This window comes from Homo sapiens, chromosome 10 (assembly GCF_000001405.40).
Source record: "Homo sapiens chromosome 10, GRCh38.p14 Primary Assembly".
Classification (NCBI taxonomy): Eukaryota; Metazoa; Chordata; class Mammalia; order Primates; family Hominidae; genus Homo; species Homo sapiens.
The window spans coordinates 64,078,102-64,096,952 of record NC_000010.11 but is presented as its reverse complement, the minus strand read 5'-3'; the positions used below and the strand labels follow the sequence as shown (position 1 = coordinate 64,096,952).

Here is an 18,851-nt window from a genome sequence, read left to right as displayed (position 1 = left end):
CAGGCGTCTACAAATAGGCTATGGATGCCCTGAAATAATAGGCCATATTTTTTATGTAGATGAATAGGTACATTTTTTTCCAGGAAAGATAGACAGTTTTCCACAAATTCTCAAAGGAGTCAGTGACTCCCCCCACCAAACTTGAAACAATCACCTTGTCATTGATTACCGTGGAAATGCATCAGATACAGATTTACTTATATGAATTCAACTGTATGCACACAGCAGAAAGAAAGACATCACAAAGAAGAAGAAATCACAATTTACATAATACAGATATCCATCCACTTTTGTATCATGAGTACATACCCAAGGGTGAGCCTGAGATGCAGACATAAATCTGCAGTCTCCAACTGGGAATAAATGCTCAATGAGATTATAATGCTTTTTCTAAGAAATACAAGAAGTACATTAAAGAACATTATTCAAGAAGGATATTCTCTCTAAGACTATGATAAATTCTGTCATAGACCTAGAAAGAGGAAAATAATACACACTTTCTCCCAGAAGAGTTTGTATTCCTCCTTCCTCTCCCCTTGCGTCTTTTATTTTCTTGTCCCTTCACATTACCATGCCAATACCCTTCTCTTCTACCACCTCATTAGAAATACTGTCTTTGGAATTCCATAGAAGGCATCGTCGACATCACTCCTGGCTGGAAAATACATAGTGCTTCCATTTTTTCTAGATGTGGGTTTAATTTACAAACCATAGCTAACATGCTGGAAGGGAAGCATGGACAGATGGAAATATAGCCTCAACTTGAACATCAGCCCAAGCTCTCTGTTTAGCTACTTGGTACCCTTACAGAATCATTGCTCCTGCCCCAAAATGATGAAACTTTTCACAGAACATAGAGCATCCATTCAAGCTAAACCCAGGGCTCTTGCAACCCACCTGAAAATAGCACATGAGTTCTAGGGACTAGTAATGGTGAGTTTCCGGAAGAAATAGCTACTCTGGAATTTCTCTTCTCAGATAAATTCCCAGAATTGATCTCTTCTCAGAATTTTTAGATAAAAGTCACAGATATTATTAGAAATATTTAGCATTGAAAATAGCCTAGAATCCAAATCTATCCTTCTATCCTGCAAGGCCAAATTCAAGTCTCTTCTCTTTCCTGGGGCCTTTCCTGAATCTTCTAACCAAAAGGATGTTTCCTTATGCTCTGAGCTCCATCAGCAATGGCCACCTCGTTCACTTTTTCACTTATTCACATATAACCTTCTGTGATCACTTGTCCTGTTGAGGTGCATAAATTTTAAGCTCAGAGAAGCCAGGGCCAAGGACATATATTGCCACTCTTTTACCTTCATCCTCTTTCTACCATTGTACTTTTCACAGTATGTTCAAAATATAATAGTTGAATGAATTAATGAATTATAGAAACTAAAATTTAAAAACAGAGAAAATTGGAATCACACAGAAGTATTGTTCTCTGACAAAATAAAAAAATTTTAAAAGCAGTGTCAACTAAAGACAAGCCAGAGGCTTCTGAAGGCAAGAGAATGTCCTCTGAGAGCAAATTTCACTAATCCTCAAGCTTTCCTCCTGACCTAGGAAGTCAATTAGCAAAGAAAAAAATGGAGCCCCTATCAGCTGGCCTGCTAATAAGGCACATCAATAATGTTCTACAGCAAAAAAGGCATGGACATAAATTTTTAATTTTAAATATAGATATTTAAAATGAGAGCTTAAGGGGGAAAAGATCATGGATTTGCATGCAAGGCAACACAAGTGAAGAGACCAGCACTGTTTTGTGGAGCTGGGAAGAGACTCTCCAGCATGTGAATAGGAAATACCCTGATCCCCTAGAAAGTGAGGTACAAACTGGATGGGTCCAGGCAAAGAGATAGAGATGCTGTGAAGGTCCAGCTCTACAGCACAAGGCAGCCCCAGCCACCCACCCCACAGGTGGCATGATGGATTTACAGCTGAAACAACTGAAAACAGCAATCAGAGCCACTGCCAGAGGGTAGTGAGTAGTTCTCACCAATAGGACCCCAGCTGCAGAAGTGGGAGAAGCAGCAGCTTGGCTTGGCCAAGGAGAATAGACCACAGTGCCTTGGCTACAGAAGGAAATGTTAATGAGGCCACAAAGGAGAGAGTTGAGTCCTCTACCCTCACCCTTAAACACAGCCACAGGAACTCCAGCCTCAGTCTTGTATCTCCAGGATCTAGTGCAGTATCTGTGTCATAATAATTGCTTAATAAATATTTGAGGAAGGGAAGGAGAGAGACAGATAGAAAAGGAGAAAAAGGGTTTGGCTGGTGGCAGCTCAAATAAAATGATTTGAATGTTCATTATGGTTACCCATAAGCCTTTATTCGTCCTTCCCTTGGCTGTCTCAGACCTAGAAATGTCTATAATACTTCCATGGAAACATACATAGAACCAAAAGAAAGAATTGCATCTGGGGAAATAAAGAGCAAAACAATCAATAAAGACATTCTTAACTATGTGTAGTTATTAAAGATATAACTATGTATAACCCAACCTGATGTGGAAAATTTAGGCATAATAAATACCAAGGAAATTGTGAATCTTTGAATCAGCTTATGATGACTCACTTGGTTTTTTAGAAAAATTCTCTCTCCATCCGGGAGACATTGTCAGCCTGTTTTTAAGCAGTCTTTTTAAACCTCTTATACTGGGAAGGGAAGGATGCATCAAATTATGTCACATGAGTAACTTGGATTTTTTTATTCATTGTGAGGCTTTTCAAATTATGAAAGCAGTCTGTACATGTTTACAAGGTGAAACCATGCAGAGTTCTATAAAGAGCTAATCATCTCCCAGCACCACCGCAACCACCTCCACTCCATCTAACTCTCACCCCTTGTCCCAAATGGCATAGAATTAATAGGTTGGTATGTGTCACTTCATACCTTTAGACTCATTCATCTAAATGTACTCAAGCATGTATATAGAGAGAAGAATTTAGTCATTGGATTTTCCCTAAATAGTCTCATACTTTTAATATACGACTTGCTTTTTTTCACCAAACAATAGAGCATAAGCAATCTTACAATACAGACTAAATTATTTACCTTTTATTCTAATTCTGTTATAAATGTACACAGTCAGAGAGAAACAATTTCACATAAATAGGATCAGAGCATATATGAAGTGGTATACAACCCTTCTTCTCTTCTGTTCAGTCTTTCTGTTTTTTTAAATCTTTGTCCCTCCCTTTTTCTATCATCTCCTTCACCCCACCACTATTCAGGTATCTCATGTTAACAACTAGATATGTACTCCTCTGCACTTTTCATCATGGTCCTACGACACAAATACATAAATATCATTAATTACAAGATGCACAATTTTGTTATATGCCACTGAGAAAGAGAAATTATCCAAACAAAGGAGTCTAATAGAAGCCCCTAACTTAAAGGCAGGAAAGGAAAGAGCTCTATCTCAGAGTCAGGTTAAACAGGAAGTAAGCTCTTCATAAAGAACAACAAGGAAGATTTCGTTCCTCTACCTTGACAACGGGAGAAAGAAGAAAACAAATTCTCTCCTGAGAATTTGATCAGAAGCTAATCATCACACAGACTTGGGGTATGAATTCACACAACCAAAGAGATTCTCAAAAAAGGAAATCCTCACCAATAGAATTTAATTTAAAGTGGCCTCAGTTTAGTAAGACCTTCTGCAGGTGACCCATAGAAGCAAACACAAATCCTCTCTAGAAGAACTTGATTTTGATGCTGACAGTGATTATAAGACCATTGTTTGTAAGATGAATTTGATTTGCAGAGAGTTAAAACATAGAGGGAAAGTATTAAATATAAGACATGTATAGATTTTGTGCCTATTTATTTTATAAAGGTGACTATTACATGTTTCTCTACATCTTACTATTGTCATTTAATAACAGCTTTCAAAATGTCTTCTAAGACAACAATATGGCCCGGCTCATTCTTTTTTAATGCCTGAATGATACTTCATAGATTGAATTAACTATAGTCTATAAAGCTGTTTTCCTATTTATTGATGTTTGCTTTCTTTTTCTTTTTTTAACATGTATTCTTAGTATCTGGTTATTTTCCTTTTGTGGCATGATATCTTGGGAGTGGGTTAAGGGTCTGTATAATTTTTGACATCATTAGATGTTTCCCATAGTGTATGAGAGTATATACTTCCCCCCATCCCCATCAGCAGTAGTTGGCACCACTTTTCATTTTTGCCAATCTTTTCTGAATCCACAAAGGCATCCCCTGCTCTCCTGTGCCTCAAGGAGGAATACTTAGAGGAGGGAAAGTGGGTTTTCACATCCAGTGTGCCTCTTTCACGTTCAGCCAGGAACTAGAGGCCAAGTCAAAGGCTGGTGTGCCTGTCCTTCTCAGGAGGAAACAAAGTCACAGGAGTTCACTGATCCTCTGAGCTGGGACAACCTTGGCCATTGCCCGTGTCAGGAGGATAGACCTGTGCACAAAAGACTGAAGGGTTAGGCCAAGTTCAATATAATAGTCCACCATTAGCTTTAGGAAGCACTTTGGGGTCCAAAGGAAGCCGAAAGCCACACTGGTCAGATGTATGCAAGACAGCAGCATCAGCCAAAAAAAAGGATTTCTTAGGAGTGCCTGCAATCTCCAATAAGAGAGAAAGTAATCGGCCTAAAATAATGAAAAGCCTGTTTAAAAGACAACATGTCAGTGAGGGTCCCAGATCACAGGCATCTTTTACCATCTTTGACCACAAGAATGAGATGGGAAATGATAAAGGAATGTCAATTGTAGTTCAAAAATGAAGATCCAACTTTCTCATCACTTAGTGCTATCATTTCCTTGCCATTAGTAGCCCCGGAAAGTCATCTGAGTTGCACAGAAGATACTTCCCAAGTCTCTGCTGCCACCCACAGTTTGAGGTGGAAACAGTGGTATAAAGTTCTAGAAGCATGCACGAAAATTATGCTCTCAGTTGATCTATGTATGTATTGATATGCTGTATTTGTATCATTTTTACAGTATGTATACTTATGCATGCATGTGCACGTGTGTGCATGTGTGTGTGCATGCATACACACACACAGAGTGCCGTTTGGTAGGTGGTGAATAAACGGGGTATCACTTAAGTTCAATTAAACTGACTCTAGGTTTGGCACTTTTCCCACAGCAAGTAAATCAGTAATGTTGGAATTGAACTTGTCATTTAATTAAGCCTTTGCATTAATGGTCCCATGGCCTTCAGAGACATCTTTATGTCTAACTAAACCAGTTTGGATTGTCTGGGTAAAGAGACAGTACCTAAGAGCATGGAGATGTTGCAAATGAAATCAAATGACAAAGGCTTCTTTCCGTCTAGGATGAAAATGTTGCAATATTCTAATTGTGGAGAAAGATGTTTTTCAGTTGAAGATCAGACTGCAGTTGAACACTCCAATAATTCATGAGGTGGATATTATTACCACCATTTTACAGATAGGAAATAGAAGCCCCAAGAAATTAATTATTTGCTTTCCCAAATGCTTCCCTCAACTGGCAACAACGAGCACTCACTCAGAGCTTTACAACCAAGGTTCATTTTTTAAAATAATAATGATAATAATGTTTTAAATGTTATCAAAAGGTAAGGTAGTACCAAAAAATAATTCCTCCTGAAGAGTGTATTTTCACCTGTAGTCCCAGCTACTCTGGAAGCTGAGGCAGGAGAGTCGCTTAAACCCAGGTAGCGGAGGTTGCAGTGAGCCGAGAACACATCACTGCAATCTAGTCTGGGCGACAGAGCAAGACTTCATCTGAAAAAAAAAAAAGAGAGAGAGAGAGAGAGAGTATTTTCACAGAGAAACTCTCTTGTTGCAAGAAGTATTCTTCACTCCAAGATTCTTAACCCTCTGACAGCAGGTTTCATGCAAACTAAGTCACAGCAATTCCTACAATTGCCAGTGAATTCCAACTTGGTGACTATGCCACCTGTATCAGTCTACTTCTGCCACGCCCAAATTACTCCAATAAGAGAAAGACTTATGTGCCCAGCATGTCTACTTATTGTTAGCTTGGGAAATAAACAGCATCATCCTTACATCAATCATAGAAAATATTCTGGAATTCCAGTTTCTAAATTAGCAGGAAGTCCAATCTTCCCCTGGGCCTTCCTACCTCCACCAAGACATATGAGACAAAAGCAACAGTAAGTTGATTAAAATACCTGTGAGACAATCACACATAAGTCTGATACCAATTCCTTCCCAAAGATGGTTATTTCTGGGTTATATCTTAAAGGACATCCTGGGCAGGACGTGTGATTCCCAGACTAGGAGGTTACCTGCCAAAGTCAGGCCAGGCACTTTCCAGCCTCTCATCATTAAGCTTTCAAAAAACTGGAGTCCAGACTGGCCCAGGCCAACTGGTTTAAACTGCACATCCTTGGTAGGAGAGGTCACATGGTATCTCCAAACTGGGCATACCCTGAGAGGCTCAACATGAACACTCCAGAGCCAGATTGCGTGAGTCCAAATCCTGGCCCTGCCACCTTCCTATCTGTGGCTTTGGGCAAATTACTTAACCTCTCTGTGCCTCAGATAACTCAGCTGCTCAATGGTGAAAATAGTGCCTATACACTTCTTTTTTTAGAACTGCCCCCAACAAATAGTAAGCAATCCATGGATTTTACCTATTAAAATTGGTATCCAAAGATAGTAAATAAAAAAAATAAAAACCACTTTAAACTAAGCACGAGAAGTTCAGGGAGAAAAAGCCTATGGAATGAAATTGACTGAAATAATTTCCTGCTTTTCAGTCAGGTAACTCTTTTGCATTAGCCAAGGTTACAAGCAGGGCATGCTGAAGACTTCTGCAGGAGGCCAGCACCTGCAGAAGTTGTGAAAATTGGCTCCAGCCCTGAGAAACTCAATCTGCCACATTCCAAGTACTAAGGTTCATTGCCATTTTTTTCCTTTAAGTTAAAATTTTAAATTGGCCCGTGTCATGTTAACCTAAGTCAGAACCTCTACTTTAAAGTTCAGAATTCAATTAGCAAGGACAAGTAATTACTTTTACCTCCCTGGCAGGCAATATTCTTCAGAGAGAGGAAGTTCATACTTCACTTCTGGCAACAGTTCTAAGATCTGTTGCTGAAGACCTTGACTCCCGTATCCCCTGGCCAGGAAGCCAGACTGAGCACTGGACCAGCCCCAGCTGCTGCCACTGGATGCCCCTCTCAGCAGGGAATAGAAACCCAGATCTGTTATCCTCAGCTCCAGAAAGGATCTCTTAGAATGCTGGCTGGCAAAATGTGCAGAATGTTTTGCTAACAACTTCTCCACTCAACCCTCAGTAATGGTCACCCATTAAATATTCACATCAGTAACTTTAAGACTCTGTGTGTGTGTGTGTGTGTGTGTGTGTGTGTGTGTGTGTGTGTGTGTGTGTGTGTGTGTGTGTAGATGGTTGCATTTGACAGCTGAGCCCTGGGGCTGCCACCATGTGCTACAAGTGCATCATACCTGGAATTAGGAGTCCAGAGTGTGATTCCTCACCCTACCACTCACTAACTATGTAACCTTGAGCAATTCACTTTATATTTGTGAGCCTTCATTTCCACCACGTGTAAATACAGCTCCTAGTATCTTCCTCTTAGATGTGTTCAGTGATGAGAAAATTAAATGAGATCATTTATATGAGAAGACTTGGAAATGTATAAGACTTGCTATTATTCTGTAGAATCAATTCCAAACAAATATCTAAAAGAATAATTTTTTAAACTCTCCCAACTCCCCCCAACATACTGCATACAATCTTGCAAGCTGTTTGATGGTAAGCACTGTCTTTCATCTCTACATGTCCAATGTCTAGCACAGTAATTGAGACATAGTAAGAGTTTACTGAATGAATAAAAAGGCAAATGACTGATCAGAGACTGGACAAGTCCTAAGAGCAGATATCAACAATTACGTGCTTGTCCTGAGATCTTCATTTGGCATTCTGGTTTGACCCAGGCCTGAAAACATAGAATGTGGCTAACTGGAGATAAAAAGAGGAGGCACAGAAATGTACAACACTGAGCAAAGCATTCACTTTTTTTTTTTTTTTTCTGAGAAGGAGTTTCACTCTTGTTCCCCAGGCTGGAGTGCAATGGCATGATCTCGGCTCACCGCCTCCGCCTCCGGGGTTCAAGTGATTCTCCTGCCTCAGCCTCCCGAGTAGCTTGGATTACGGGCATGCGCCACCACACCTGTCCCATTTTGTATTTTTAGTAGAGACAGGGTTCCTCCATGTTGGTCAGGCTGGTCTCGAACTCCCGACCTCACGTGATCTGCCTGCCTCAGCCTCCCAAAGTGCTGGAATTACAGGCATGAGCCACTGCATCCGGCCCACATTTAAATCATATTTTAACATAGCAAAGTACCTAAAGGCAATGGCAACAATAAAAAAGATAATAATTTGTCTTTATTTAACATATATTTTGAATATTGTAGGAACTGACTTTCCTCCTAACCCAAGATCAACTTCATTGAAAAAAATTCTGAGGCTCAGGGAAGTCATCTGCTTGTCCAATGTCATCCCCCCAGATGTCTCCATAAAAATCTTAGATCTTCAGACTCTGCACCAGTGCCATGGGCCTTAGGGGTACACCAATGTGATCATGAAAGGACTCTCAGATTTAGAATGGCACACAGCAGCAGTCATCCATCCTGACTTATCTCTGCTTGAGATACAGATATCCTGCTGCTAGAAGGTTCAAATGCCCTTACTCTTAGGCTACTGAGAAGACAGCCTGGCAATAACAGAGGTGTCCTTGCCTCACCAGCAGAGGTAGTGTAGAATTCCTCTACGTTCCTAAGCCCAAACAGCCCTAGGTATAGGAGAGTTGCATGGTTACAGAGCTACAGTCTCTCCTTACCATCACCCCTGCCCTGACGCTCATTGTCTTGGCTTCTTCTCCAACTCTCAAAAACTTGGTCCTGAGTAGCCCCATCTGCTCAAGAAATTGGAGCAGCAGTCATCAGACCACAAATATTACCAGTGATGCCACAGTACTCCCCAACCCCAAATCAGGCCTCTGATTTTCACAAGGGCCCAGATCAGTCTTGGTGTGCTACCGATTTAGACATTATGATTTTGACCAGCAGCCTCTTTCTTTGGGGCCACTTCTATAGCCCAGTGGGTCCCCTAGACCCTGTACACCATGTCCTGGCCTCCTCCTCGTCCCCACCTGTCACAGGTTCCCAACATCCTCTGTGAATACAAAGGTCCTTAGAAAGACAGGATATTTTACAGCTCTTCCCTAAAGCAATTTACTACAACTTTATGGCAAAAATGACCGCTATTCTTTAAATGGAGCTTGTTCACTGAAGTCTCAAGTGACAGTTTACTTAGCTTTGCAATACATTAATACCTGTTTTAAAAGCAATCAAGTCCTATAAATTAAATATCAGCTGTTCTTACATGGCTCACATTTGAGGCCCTTCAGCATTAAGCCAGAGAGACTTTTTGGACAGTTGTTGATCTTTTGTGAGCCCAGTTGTTTTCTGGAAACAAAAGTAGAATTAGATCTCTGCCCTTACTGCTGCATGCTTAAATTTGCTCCATGACTCTTAAAACCCCAGAGCAAACACATGATCTTGAGTTCCAGGAGGAAGAGAAGTTGACTCTGAGTGCAAGCCCTGACTCCTATGACCTAGATCTCAATGGATTCAAGATAGGCCCAAGAGAATCAAGTAGCAGGCCTTAATTAATAAGCAGCGCTCTTCTGAAGGTAAATCTTCAAGTCATCTTATTGACTACATGGGAAACAGCAGAAGAGAATCGTGGCAGCTAAGGAAGAGGATGGTATTGATCAACTTATGTAAAAGCCAAGCTAATTTCCTTGCCCAGATCAAATTCCAGGCAGAACTCTTGTGTCCTTTAGCTGCTTACCTCATACTTGTAAGGTCCATAATCTAAATTATTTTTTCAGTATTTGTGTTCATTCAACAAACATCAGTTGAGTATCAACTACGTGCCACGCACTATTCTGGGCAGAAGGCATACACAACTCCTACCCTCATCAAGCTTATGCTATAGAAGGGAGAGAGATAATACCCAGATAAATAAGCAAATAAGATCAACTCAGATCCTAATAAATGTCTAAACACCAAAACGGATAATGTGATAGGGCGACTGTGGGAAGAAAGGGGATGGTTCACTGATTCCTGCACCCTCTGAGTCTCCTTCCTGAGGCCTGGTCAGGGTCAGGGAAAACTAGGTCCCACAGGGGGTTAAAGCCTGAACCTGGCTTGATTAGAAACAGAGATCTTAATATTAAAGAGACCTTAAAGCAACAGGCAACCCCAAGTCCTCAGAGAGTTAAGATTTACCCTGGCCCCTGTTTCACTGAAGACTCTGAGGCAATTGCCAACTGGCCTTAAGGCACACATCCTGGAATCTTCTAAGGGAGTACTGACATCCAGGAGTTCTGCTTCCTTGTAGTGATTCTCCCACAGTTCAGTGACGGGTGCTCAATCTTGGCTGCACACTGCAGTCGCCTGGAGAGCTTGAGCTGTAAAAGCATCTGACACCTAAGTCTCAAGGGCCCTGATTTAATGGGTCTGAGGTGCAGCCAGAGTATTAGAAGCTTCCAAATCTCTCTGAGTTATTCTAATGAGCATCCAGGGATGCAAACAACTGGTTTAGTGTGCCTATCAAAACTACCCCTAGCACTTGTTTGAAATGCAGATTCCTCAGGCCCCAGGTACTTTGGTTCCAAAGCTTAGGCTGGGGCTCAGGAATGTGCATATTCTTGGCAAACACAAGCTTCTGATGCAGGAACCAGCTACTTACAAACTACTTGAAAACCTCAGTTATATCAAGGGTCAGGGATGGAATTATCTCCAATACCATCTTTATAGAGGAAAGGAAAATCTAGGTTAGTCCATGAGTGAAAGGGAACCTAACTGCCTGCAGAGAATTTCATGTGTGTAAGGCCCCACAAGCTCTTTACCTGCTTTCTAAATTAAATATTTAAGTTACTTTTGTTTAAATGCTGTTTTTTCACAGCTTTAAATCTGACCATGGCAAGTCAGGACTCAAACATTTTGAAAGCTCTCATCTACCCTTATGCCTGAATGCCCCATTTTGGCACTGTTGCTCCCAGATTCCCAAGGAGAAGGAAGTCCCTTTGCAACATTGTCATTCTCTGTTCACACGGCACACCTGCCGCAAAAGGCGGATAGGCCTCAGCTCCTCCTTTTGGAAGGCAATGCTGTGGTTAAGGGGAAAATCTCAATTTCGAAGTAATTGGGGAAACAATCCTCTCAGTGCAGAATATGTTCAAGAGATCTTCAAACAGAAAAGCTGCTGAATGTCCCCAGCTAACGGGGGGCATCAATTGGTATAAAGCAATTGGCTAAATCTGTCTCTATATGCCCCAGTAGTATGATAAATGTAAGGAGAGAGGAATTTGTCTTGGTATTCCACAATGTGATAAATGACAGGAAACGTAATTGTGTAATGCCAGTAGCACCAGAAAATTGCAAATCTCCAAATGAAATGTTCCTTTCAATCACATAATCAAGTAACTGACGGGGCATTTGAGATATTACCTAAATTATGGCTAATTTTCTGTAGTGGCTTTCTGCACCTTGCTCTGCTGCATGGGCAAAAGATAGGCAGAAATGAACATCATTAATTGCATAAAAAGAAGCCTCAGTGGCCTTGCTTCCTGACACTTCCCCATGCCAATAATTCAGCATATCACATACATCTGCGGCCATGGATATTGTGTGGCCCTCACAAGGTACTTACCACAGGGGGTATCCTGATCACCATGGAGACAGCAGCTGGGGTTTCGGATGCTGGTTACCTTAAGAGAGAATTTTAAAAGACAGTGGCATAGGTAGAAATTGTAGGCTTTGGATCAAAACTGTCAGAAAAGGACCATTATTTCTTATTAATTTTAAAAGACAGAGATCTTCTCCTGTGAAGCAGAAGTGCTCTCAGGCTGTACTTATATCTATGGGGGAAAATTATTATATTAGAAAATGCATCACAAAAATCCTTTAATGCTTTGATTGAACAGAAAAGCAAAAACCAACTTGAGTTGACTTAGGCATAAAATGGAAATTTATTGTAAGGATACAAGAGTGTCAAGGCAAAGATGCAGCAGGGTCTCTGTAACCCAGAGAACAGTTGTTCATCATTTTTACTTTCTGGTTCTTTTTACATATGTGTTTCTTATTTTTTAGAAGGCCAATATTTTCTGCTACTCAGTTGTTAACGTGGCTGGGAGAAGATGGCTGTCTTCAAGTCATAAGTTCCCCGGTTACAATTTCAGACAAGGGAGACTGACTGTGTCAGGTGCATTTCCAAATTTGCAGGTCAGGGATACTGTGTGGTCCAGCTTGGGTCAAGCACTCAACACTGATCCAATCCCTTATTTTCAAGTAGGTGTTGGGTCACATTATACAAATTGACTCAGAGACTCATTCCTAGAATGGGGAGCTAGGGCCAACAGTCAAGGGGGTCATTTTGAGCTGGAAAAGTACCCTCCTAAGGCAATTATTACACAATTATTATGTCATTTGAGTCTCACAACCACCCTCTGAGGGAAGAAGCTCAGTTGTTATTATATTTATTTGACAATTAAGGAAATTCAGGCTCAAAGAGGGCACACAACTAGTAAATATTAGAGCTGTGGTTTGAATCTAGGTCTTCTGGTTCCAAATGCTGTGTAGGAAAAAAACAAAGCACAATTGCCATCCTCCTTTGCCTTTATGTATTCTTTTCTTTATTGTACTTTTCCTGCCTGAAACAGATCCAAATTCATTCTTTCAATCAACAGTTAATAAACATATGCTTTATGCAAGGTATTATGCTAAACCTTATGAGAAATATGGGGCCTGCCCTCAAAATGCTCAGCATTTATTAAATGAGACATTTAGCAAATTCACCTGCCAAGACTCCTAGGACTGCCACATAATACAGCTCCAAGGGGCACCATTAACAACTGAGTTTTGTCCAGACACAGCAGCTCATGCCTGTAATCCCAGCACTTTGGGAGGCCAAGACAAGAGGATCACTTGAGGCCAGGAGTTTGAGACCAGCCTGGGCAATATGGTGAGACTCATGTTTCAACAAAAAAGAGAAATAAACAGTGAGTCTTGGGAATGCACCCCGTAGAGTAGCGCAGTGTATGGTGTGAAGTCCACCATTAGCTGCAGCTAAACTCACGCGTTCCTTCCACATGTCCCTTAGAAGATGGTTAATTTCTACAATTTAGAGTCTAACTGAAATAGGAATTGTAACTTTAATGTTTCCAGAAACTTGGAGGTCTCTAACATTAAAAATCCCGTATTGAAGTAGCTGCATTTGTAGGGGGAAAAATGACCTGCAATAAATGGGGACACATCTCAGCTGTGATCTCTTGATAGCGTTCTTGGAAGTTCCAAAGCCTGTGGACACCTCTAGTCTTCCACAGGATGGCTGGACAGTAGCTACTCCCACAGGGAGGAAATCACAAGGGCTGCCTGAGAGAGTTCCCAAGGTGGAAAGGCTAAAAAACAGAATTATCAGAGGATTACGTGGAGACACAGGAGGCAAAGGAATGACCGGCAAAATGAGAGGGGGAGCGTGAGAGCAACACAGCTGAGGACTCTCCATAGGGCAGGCCTGGACGGAGGCTGGGGCCTGCACTAGGGCTGGTGGGGAAAGAGGACAGCAAAAGGCACTTCATGTTTTACTTCTTCTCTCCAAGTTGCATGGTCTGACCTCTGATGTTTCAGTCCAGTAAAAAGCAGGCGGACCTTTGTGTTAACACTGCTTTTTCCAATGCCTTTTTGTCACTTTCTTAATGATCATGATATCAGTAAGTTACCTTAGTTAAAATTGTTGGAAAAGTACAGTTTTGAGATAAGAAGCTCTGGAGAGCATTTGTCTCCATACTCCACCCCCACAACCCCATCTGATTATCCACACAGGCACTAATCAAATCTAACAAATAATTTCCAAAATTGCATGGGATTAACTGGTCTTTTCTACCATATGTTGAAAATCAGAGCACAATTTACATCTGTTCCATGTACAGGCCATAGTACCAAGACCCACACTAAAGTATCAAGGCAGGGAAAGTCTCCTTAAGATTACACTTGAATTTGAAATCAAATGTACCTGCAGACACTCAGAGAAGAGCTGCCTTCATCAAACATGGAACAACAGGAAATCTTTTATTTTGTAGTTTTCCCATGAAAAAGGAAAACTGCAGGCACTTAACTCAAACCCCAAAGTGCACAGCTAAAGAACACCTGACACCATGAGTAAATTGCAAATGTATTCTGTTTTCCTACAAAAAAAAAATTCATTAGATGGTACACTTCCGAATGTACTGCTCGTAGCGACTGCCTTGCTAAAGACCAACAGTGCTCATTACCAAGCGGTGCAAGAGCCCAAGGGAAGAGACTGAATTGGTTTTTCAAACCATTGACAGTCTCTAGAAAGTCTGCAGTGTTTACTATTTTAAAATTAAACATCTGGTTGAAAGATCTGCTATTTTATGATTTTTTATAACAATTCAAAAGTCACATTTAATTTTGTTCTTTCTCCATCAGAGTTTCAAGTAACTTTACTTTTGATCACAATAGCTCCATAAGCCTTGGGCTTACAAAGATAAAAGGAAAAACATTCCCCTTATATTATCTATGTTCGGGTCCACCCTCACCTTATAAAACTCCTCCCAGGAAGCAAAACAAACTAGTTATGTTTTTCCTTCTAACAGTCTGCAGCAGTTGAGCGTGACTGTGGGTTTATGGTGCCTCCACAGATTAAAAACAATCCCACTTAAAATGTTCAAATCAAATTCACAAGCAACCTAATGAGCTGTGAATGTAAATGTAAATGCTTTACTAAGTGAGCACCCATAAAAGAATTATGTGCCCTAAGTAATTACGTGCAGATGCCAAATCTCAGGAGTTCAATTTGGGACATTTCTCAGCAATGGGGTATCTTATGTTTATCCTTTAGTATCAGCACTAACATTAAGAAAAGGCACCTATTTTCTAGAGTAGAGCATCAGCTGCAATTTGTTCATTGTGTGAACCCCTTCACATCCCTAGTTCCCAGTAGGGCCTCTGCCTTCACCACCCCATACCTACAGGACTCTTCCACAGAGAATGCAGTTTATTTGGCCATGCAAAATTTAACTACTGAGCATAGTTTCTGTAGAGTTGAACAGAATTTGAAATAGATAACATGTACTGCTTGATTACCACATGACAATGATGGAAACAGAGTCCACAACAGGAAAATTGTGATGTTATCAGACTTGGCAGTTCCAGACTTCATGCCCAGGTCCCACTGATCTTCACCGGCACCCCCTGCTCCATTGCCAGATACCGAGTCCAACGTTCTCTTCCCAGACAAGCAAGGATCTGCCATCTCTGCTTAAACTTCTGTGACAATTCATACTTCTTAGTCATATCTCCTAGACATATCTGTCATTATCAAGTCTTTTAACTTTGATAAAATAATCAATGCTTATCTCATCCAAATAATTTTTATCCCTTCAGCCAGTCTTCAGGGAGACATTTGAGGGTACGTTAAAAGGGGGCTTTTCCCTGTTCCTCAGGTCAGTCTACTCCTCATGCTAGCCCTAAAGGTTGACTAGCCTTGGATCCTTTAGGGACTGGGTCAGAAAGGATATTAGTTTGACTTTTTTCTAGAGATCCTCCTACTCTCACAAGTTTAATGAACTGCCAGCTACAAGTGCAGAGGGCCTATTTCTTAGCCACTAAGTTGACCTGTCTTGCCCAAGAGTTACTGGCTTTTTTATATGGGTCCTACCAATGGACCTCTCAAACCTTATCCATTAACTCTAATTTCTCCTCATCAATATCCTTACTCCAAGAATTTCAGGTGTGATCACACTTATTCATCAGACTAATCATCAAGTTACTCCTTTGGCACTGAAGTCAAATAATTCTTTCATGTAAAGGATTTATACATGTTCCTTGGATCATGCTTCAGGTGGTTATTTTACTCGGTGCACACACAGACACACACACATACCACATGGGCAGAAGTCTTCACTTGTAGCCACCCACACCAGAATTGTGATTATAATCAAAGTAGGGAAATTCCCACTGGCCCCACCATTAGTTCATTTTCTAAAGGAAATTGAGATATCGCTATTCTTCCTCACTAGAAGAAGTGAAGAATGTGCCAGTGATCATCTTAGCTGAGTGGTAAAGTAACCCTAGAGACTATAAAGAAAAATTATTCAAATTCTTGAAACATCTCTCTCTCTCTGTCTTTCAAAATTGTTTTGGTCACTGACATAGAACTGACTTGTCCATGCAAAAACCTTTCACATCTCCTTTCTATGCCATTCTAAATGAAGTTGAAATCTTTAAAACTTGTAAAGGTGCTACAAAATCTAACTCCTATCTAAACTATCTCTTCAATATTCCCTTCTTTTATTTCTCTTGGCATGAATCCATTGGTCCAATGACTGATCTATGTTCCACAGTAACATCTTTTTCATTCCTTCCTTCCTTGAACAAAAAATTCAGTCTCGCCTTTGCCCCTTTGCTTATGCTTGTCTTCCACTGGAATGCCTTCCCCAACCATTCCACTTCCATTCAAAATTCTACTGAAGTCCCACTTCCCTCCTGGAGCTTTCTCAAACATACCAGTCCATGGTGCTCATCTACCAATGAAATCAGTGTGCTGCATTATACCAAGAATTAGATAAGAATTAGATAAAAAATGGGCTGAAGGCCAAGCTCAGCCATTGCCAGCTGTGTGAACCAGGGCAACTCACTTATCTTCTTTAAACCCAAGTTCTTTTATCTGAGATAGAGGGATTGGAATGATCTCAAAGATTCATTCTAGTTCTGATCCCAATAAAGTCTTTGGGCCTTATGATAAGCTTCCAGGTACCCATCCATGAGTAAATAAAAATACAGAACCCCTAACATGCCCTATGCAATATTTGAAACATGCTTATACTAAAAATTATTTACTGTTTATCTGAAATTTGAATTTACCTGTATTTCATCTGGCAACCCTACACATAGGTCCATGTTCTATAATTGCCAGTCAATTTAAACAATCTGGAGACAGGGGTTGTTTTACCCATCCCACACCTAAAGTTTCTGCCACAGAGCCATATGAAACTATGCTTCCACATGCTTTGTGATCAATGAGCACCAACTCCCTCAAACTAAAGCTGATTCCATGAGCAAAAGCTCATAGAAAATAAGTGCTTTACCCTCTTCTCAGATTAAAATTTTAAAAACTAAAGAGCTCAAACTCAGCTGTTTCTTTCCAACTGTCTTAATCCCACCTGCTGCTGCTTTGCCTTACACAGACAGATGCCCCATAAAGAAGCCCATAAAGAAGCTCAGTAACCAGTCCACATAAATCCCTTACTGGTTACCCTTCCCTCCGGCCATGTATATGTGGGGAACAAGAGCAGTTCCTTTATTACTTGTGCTCAGTTTGTTTATGAGACTCTATATATCTGGCTGTTATAAAATACTCCCCATCCCCACCCACACCCTCTTCTCTCCACTTAGTCAAATGGCATGTCCTGTTTCTGCTTCCCATAAAAACAGACACATTTATCCTTCTATATGGAAGGAAGACATCCTTGTTTTATTCTGTTGAAAGGTAGACCCTCTTACTTCTCAAGATTAAGTATTATAGGGTCACTGCCTACATTAAATTGAAAGAGGAGATCAATCATATGTCAGAGAATTGCTGCTACTGGGTATCAAACAGAAGCTGGACCAGAAAGAGACACAGAGTAGAAGTCAGGATAGGAGTCAGCCTGGACTCTGCCATTACCTCAGTATCTCAGTTTCCTCTTCTGAAATGAGAAATCCCAGCCTGACCACTGGTAAGACCCCTTCAGCTTTAATGTTGTATGGTTTTAAGCAAGATTTACATGGAGGCTAACTGAGAATTTAAGCTCAACTAAAGGAACTGAGGTAAATACACCATTTACAGCAAATGATTCTGATGTATAATAAACACTGCTTCCTCTACAAGTATAATGGAAAAATACCACAGAAACACCCAGATCATTTATCTACCTCAGCAACAGCACTGTACAAAGGAGCAAAGACTCTAATCGTGTATTTATTTCTCTCTTGTTTTGATCCAAGGCTGAGGCGTGACAACTAAAAAGAGACAGACAAAAGAGAAAGACACTGAGACAGAAAACAGAGGAAACGCAGTTACTTGGCTCTAGCCATGAACATTTCTCTTAAGTTTTTCATCTCATGGTATGTCAACTGACTTCCTAGACAAGCATCCTCCTAAGACTTATCCCAATATGCTCTGCATCTCAATGTGTGCCTGCCACAAAAAAGTAATCCCAGACCCAGAGGTAAGCATAGTTTGAAAAGTGCTAATCAAAAAGTGCTTATCACATTTTTCTCTGACCATTGTAAAAGAGAGGTTTTAAAAGAATGAGATGGAGGACACTGCCCTGCATTAAAAACATGACAACAAATAATTCATGTACACATTTATGCTGGAACACTTAGAGCCAAAATAACTGGACAAATGGTGGAAAATTCAACCTACTATCCAAACATCTAGTCTAATCAACTCAAAACTTCTAGATATTTGGGGATATGGAGACGTAGGACAAAATATTTTCCACTTTTTACTTGGGTGCTCTGGGAAAAACCACATTAGTGGAACAGCACATGGAAAACTCTCACAGATATTAGAGTTTTCAAATAAGCATTTTATGAAGTGAGAATCAATAGGTTCTCACAGCTCTCCAGAGGAGCTGTATGTCATCATCAGCTAAATATTTGCTGTTATTATTTTCCCCACGGAGCATTTGGTAAAATACATTCAATTCTCTTACAACCATAATGGCATCATTAAATGCCAGATGGGGTCCTCTGAGAGCCATT

At 40.6% G+C, this 18,851-nt stretch overlaps 1 long non-coding RNA gene across 3 annotated transcripts in view, besides 1 other annotated feature; it reads right to left on the bottom strand.

Moving 5' to 3' along the window:
• The window catches only part of LOC124902439 (uncharacterized), an 820,351-nt gene that overhangs the window by 595,987 nt on the left and 205,513 nt on the right, over positions 1-18,851 (bottom strand). Inside the window, exons 4-5 of one of the 3 annotated variants that reach the window (XR_007062163.1) lie at positions 11,731-11,788; positions 5,702-5,744 (exon numbers count right to left, since the gene is read on the bottom strand). The exons of the other annotated variants lie outside the window; for them this stretch is intronic. This is a non-coding gene — a long non-coding RNA (uncharacterized LOC124902439). Of the gene's footprint in view, positions 1-5,701; positions 5,745-11,730; positions 11,789-18,851 lie in introns of those variants that run through there. 3 annotated transcript variants of the gene reach the window in all.
• Positions 5,771-6,065: a silencer, noted in NCBI's record as "tiled region #9742; HepG2 Repressive non-DNase unmatched - State 23:Low, and K562 Repressive non-DNase unmatched - State 24:Quies". NCBI's record gives its function as "represses a minimal TATA promoter and a strong SV40 promoter by Sharpr-MPRA in HepG2 and K562 cells {active_cell/tissue: HepG2 | K562}" and the evidence as "EXISTENCE:reporter gene assay evidence [ECO:0000049][PMID:27701403]".